This window comes from Homo sapiens, chromosome 1 (assembly GCF_000001405.40).
Source record: "Homo sapiens chromosome 1, GRCh38.p14 Primary Assembly".
NCBI lineage: Eukaryota > Metazoa > Chordata > Mammalia > Primates > Hominidae > Homo > Homo sapiens.
The window spans coordinates 106,745,663-106,751,007 of record NC_000001.11 but is presented as its reverse complement, the minus strand read 5'-3'; the positions used below and the strand labels follow the sequence as shown (position 1 = coordinate 106,751,007).

Sequence of the window (5,345 nt, the reverse complement as noted above, 5' to 3'; positions counted from 1 at the left end):
TTTGCCATTTACTAGCTACGTGACCTTGGGTGAGTTACTTTACATGTCAAAGGCTAGTCTCTTAACATGTAAATTTAAGTGGAGATTGATGACTTCACTTCGTATTAATATGGGGATTGTGTGAAATATTGTACATGAGAATGCTTTCATATAAATTGCTTTATAGCAAGTTTCAGAATGTCTCAAGAAAGGAGGTTACAGAGCTTGTGTACAGTTCCCAGTGTTTTTATTTCTGATCTCTCTTTGTTCTTTGTCAATAGTAAAGTTATATTCCATGCTTGTCATAGTACAAAGGACTTGGGAATCTTTTAAAATACAACCTTAGACAGAGATACTACACAGCAAAAATAATGGTTTCAGAGGAAATGAGGCTAGAAACTCTGAAAATCTGATGCCTAGCATTAAACAGAATATGGAAAATTCATACTACCTGTTGAATCATTAGTAGGGGAAAAGGGGAAAGAATATTCTGAATTCTCACTTTAAATTCTTGGGCGAACTGGGGGAAAAGAGAACTATGGAGGCAGGCTTCCGAGAAACTGGAAGGAAAAAGTTGTTGGGCCAACATCAGAAATGAAATGCAGATCTTGAACTGGACTCTTCTTCTCCTTTAGCATTTCTTGTTTTGAGTGGCATTTGACCAAATGAACTGAAAAATCAAATCTGTGGTGTGATGTGGCTATGATGGAGACAAATGTCCATTGAAACACGTGGGACCTAAAATGAAAGTAAGGGGATATAGAATTAATCCAATATATCACCACTCTCCCATATGTCAGCTTTAAAGATTTGGTCTCTCAGAAACTAAAGAAGTGAGAGGCTAGTGAATTAATCCAATACATCATCACAAGATCCTTTGGTATCTATCTTCAAATTCTGATCTCTAAAGGTACAGGGGACAAGTCTAGTCATGTTAGAGTATTTATGGATTTTGCAAGTTTCCCTTTAGCTTATTCATTGGAAGTTTTGCATAAAAGATAAAAGCATAGACTAAATCAACAGCAGCATTAATTGGAATCATAAACTAAAAATAGGAAAAATTTAAACAAAAACTAGGAAAAGCTCCATTCCCATATTATAAGAATAAATTCTAACCCAATTATTTTCTCCTACTCAATTCAGTTACCGTTTTGTGTCCTTGGGATGATAATGAGAATTTTACTTTCCTTTTTTTGGTGGCTCTGCCTGTCAAAGAAGAGCCCCATGGGAGCAGAAAGTATTATGTCTTATATTTGTGCCTACAACCTGTATTTACTCCTGATGAGGCTGCTGTGTATGGCTCTGCTTTCCATTTAAAACTTAATTTCTCATTAAATAGTTTCTGTTTTTAATCAGCCGGTCAGCAGGCCATAATAGCTAATCTTGTAAAAGGGTTAAGTTTTTATCTGATTCACATTTATTTGAATCTCACAATTCAAATAAGAGAGAAAAACATATCCAACTTTTCTTAGGCTGGAGACACTGAGTGGGATATGAGATGTTACATAGTCATGAGACAGTTGCTCTGAATAATAAGTGAAAACCATAAAACCTACAATATTTTGGCTTGAATAATAGATCATTAGGTAGTTATAAAAGAAAGGATCTTGATGATAGATTTAAACAGGACTCCAAAAATATATAGATAATTCCCCTGTGAGAAGCTAAAGCTTCCTTTCTTCATACATGTAATCCTAAGAACAATATTTTGTTTTAATTTAAACCTAAAATTACAAAACTAAGCCATGCCTGATGCTGGAAAAGGCAACTATTTTCACAAATGCAGTTACACCATCTTGGCTTGAGAGTTTTGCAAATATTCATTTGGAAGCTGAGGTTATTAGCCTTTACTCCTGGTACCAGAATGACAGCATAAATCCTCGGACCAATGTACACTGTAGTACATTCATTAAGATACCCCCAGATTTTTGGATTGCCTAGTTATTAGGTGACAATGCTATGACATTTTGTGTCAAGGGGCAGTGGCAGCTGTCACAAAGAACAGCAGGTGGTCATGCAATTGCTGTATCTCTACTTTAACTTTTCACAGCTCTTTCAGTTAGGAGTGAACAGTAGCAAATGGGACACCCACGTTACTCTCATTTATTTAACAAATTTGAAAGGTATATTGAGGTGAATTACTATCTCTTGTCAAAGCGGTCTAATGGCTGCTACAGTTACCTTTAAGAGGGTAGTAGTCAGTGGCCTAAGGGATTGAGTGGAAACCACATTGGTTTTAGTGGTAAAAGATATTTGCCAAGAAAGAAAGGGCAGAGAAGAATTCATGGTGATCCTTTGTCTAGGACTTAAAGTGCTATAAAACATTCTTATAACTCAGCTGGCAATCACATAGGGGAGAAAATAGAACTGTTTGGTTTTCCTTGAGTGGTAACCTAAGGTAAATTATATTTTAACAAGGGCTATTTGGGATTGGATGCAATTGTATAAACCCATGAGAATTTTTATTTGTTTTACTTTACTTTTGGATGGCTGTCCAATTCCTACTTTAAGTCCTTAAGACTCAGAATACTATTTCTTTAATCACTAGCTTAGCACAGTTTTCTGTGCAAATTTTGAGTACCGGGCCACTGGCATTTCCTAATTCAGAAGCAGATATTTTTTTGAATGTGGTCTTGAATGCTTTGTCTTCTCCTTCAATTTCTCATGAGGTTGGAAAACATTTATTACATTTTCTTCTAATTTATTAGAATCATTTACTTGGAATATTTAGATATTCGGAGATACTTTCAGGTATTCACAGACTATCTCCAAATTTTGCATCAAAATTTACAACGTCCCCTAGGTCAGTGATCCCTAACCTTTTTGGCACCAGGGATCGGTTTTGCGGAAGACAATTTTTCTTCCAGAGGAGGTGGGGGGTGATCATCAGGCATATTAGATCATCAGACGTTAGACTCTCATAAGAAGCGCGCAAGTTAGATCCCTCGCATGCGCAGTTCACAATAGGGTTCGTGCTCCTATGAGAATCTAATGCCCTGGCTGATCCGACAGGAGGCGGAGCTCAGGCAGTGATGCTCCCTTGCCTGCCACTCATCTCCTGCTGTGTGGCCTGGTTACTAAAAAGGCCAGGTATGGCCCGGGGGCGGCGGCTCACGCCTGCAATCCCAGCACTTTGGGAGGCCAAGGCGGGAGGAGCACCTGAGGTCAAGAGTTGGAGACCATCCTGGCCAACATGGTGAAACCCCGTCTCTACTTTAAAAATACAAAAATTAGCCAGGCGTGGTAGTATGTGGCTGTAATCCCAGCTACTTGGGAGGTTGAGGCAAGAGAATCTCTTGAACTCAGGAGGCAGAGGTTGCAGTGAGTGGAGATCGCGCACGGCACTCCAGCCTGGGCGACAAGAGCGAGACCCTGCCTCGAAAAAAAAGAAAAAAAAGGCCAAGTATGGTAATTGTCCGCGGCCTGTGGAAGCAGAAAGGAAATTATCTTAAGATTCTGAGTTTCTTTTTTTTCTGCTGAGAACTAGCTGTTCCTTTGAAAATCACTTCATTCTCCTCAGTAAACTTGGCTGCATTCTCTTTCTGCTAGAATATTCTGTAACCATTTGAGTAGTGAGTGTAATGGGGTCAGGAACTAAGAGATTGAATCAGACCAAAAGCATTCTTCAAAAACCTACTATGTGCCAGGACTCTCTAGGTTAGTCAGTGTTACCACAAAGAGGGAAGATTCTGTTTTATCTCCAAGAACAGTTAAACGCTTATCTTTAATTTAAGTGCTGGATTGAGTGATTCAAGGTGTAGACAATACAGAGGCTCAGAGAAGGAAAAGACTGAAAATACTCAAGACCAGAATCATTTGCTTGAAATTAGTAACCTTAGCGTTTATTTACAGCCTTAGAAAAGTCCAAATAATGAAGTCAAATTGGTAACAAGATGAAAAAGCTGACACAAGTACTCCGTGTTCACATGAAAATAGTAGACTAAATAGTAGGTTGCTCTGATCCAGCTGTGACATTGAAAAATGTCACTTTTACTTGTTAAGTATTATTGCCTCTGAATTCTTTTCTATGTAAAACTCGAAGGTCACCTGACACCGTCAGGCAATTACTTCCTCTTTCATTGTGCATGTCAATGGCTGATAAAGTACACATCATTACAGTTTAGGAATGCTCTATTCTTTTCCTTTTACACTGGCACCTCCTTGGTGATATGCATGATTTGGCTGGGGTAGAGAAAGTTAGTAGGAGTAATCACACAGTTGCATGCTGTGAAGAAGAGTGAGCTTTATTTACAGCACAGCACTCTGATTTGGCTTTAAGAGAATTACATCAACTAAAAATTATACATAATAGACTTGGCAGAAACACAAGCTGGTGGTCAGGCCTGATTATATCAAATAGAAACACTTGGAAAGTAATGTTTCCAGGCTCTTACTCAGATTTATAACAGGTGTCCACAGGACAGTAATCCTCATAGATCCTTAAATGCTTTCTAAATGCTAAGGTTTTGAGCTAGAGATATCCTGTGGCTGCTTGACAAAAAGCCTTATGCTAATTAAGATCTATCCAAGTCTCCTGATCTAAGATAAGTCAGAGCCTAAAAGGAAATCATGTTGGGAATTGATTCTCTCACTGTGATATAGTTGCCATAAATTTTGGAGGAATTTTCAGGCTACAGATATAAATCAACTTACAGAAAAAATTTAAAAATAATATTAGCCAGAAAAAAATAGACATTGAAAAAAGTCACTGATAATAAATAATTAGTATATATAATCATTAGTATTGTTTGGGTTAAATTTGCCATTGTTTTCCTCAAAATAATATGCTTAGGGCTTAATGTAATTGCTTTCAAAGGACTGGTTTGTATGAGTGGCTATAACATATGAGCCTTTGTTCTAGCAAATAAATTCTAAGAAAAATAATAATTTGTCTGCTTGATTGTTTTTTGTTCTAGATTGTGAGTTTGATAATGGCAAAGAGTGTCAATTATTTCCACGTATATTGACAGTACCTAGCACAATTCCTGTCTCATATTATATACTCAGAAAATGTTGGGTGACAATGCTGAACAAAAATATTTTCAATTGTGAGTTTTCTTAGGAATAACAAGAACATTAAGGAAAGCAAACAAAAAATGGATAGGGACTAGAAATTGTTAAGGCATTTAGTTGTCTGAGCAAAACAAGACCTATATTCCATCAGATCCATTTTTAAGTAAACTAGAAATGTAAAATAAAGTAGCAGAGTTCTTGAGTTAATGCAGTAATTCTTCTGTTTTCTTTACATAGCAATAAGCAGATTTTCAAGACTTATTTAGATATGATCTTGGATTTGTTTTGGATTTATCATTTGAGCAAGTTCTGCCACCTCGACTTCTGCATTTAGACTCTAGGAAATCATTTTG

General features: G+C 37.1%; 1 long non-coding RNA gene across 1 annotated transcript; it reads right to left on the bottom strand.

Moving 5' to 3' along the window:
- Positions 1–238: 238 nt before the first annotated feature.
- On the bottom strand, positions 239–2,869 carry LOC124904233 (uncharacterized). The gene is made up of 2 exons (XR_007066260.1): positions 2,799–2,869; positions 239–717 (listed from the first exon to the last, which is right to left on the bottom strand). It is a non-coding gene; the product is annotated as an uncharacterized LOC124904233 (long non-coding RNA).
- Between the last annotated feature and the right edge of the window lie 2,476 nt (positions 2,870–5,345).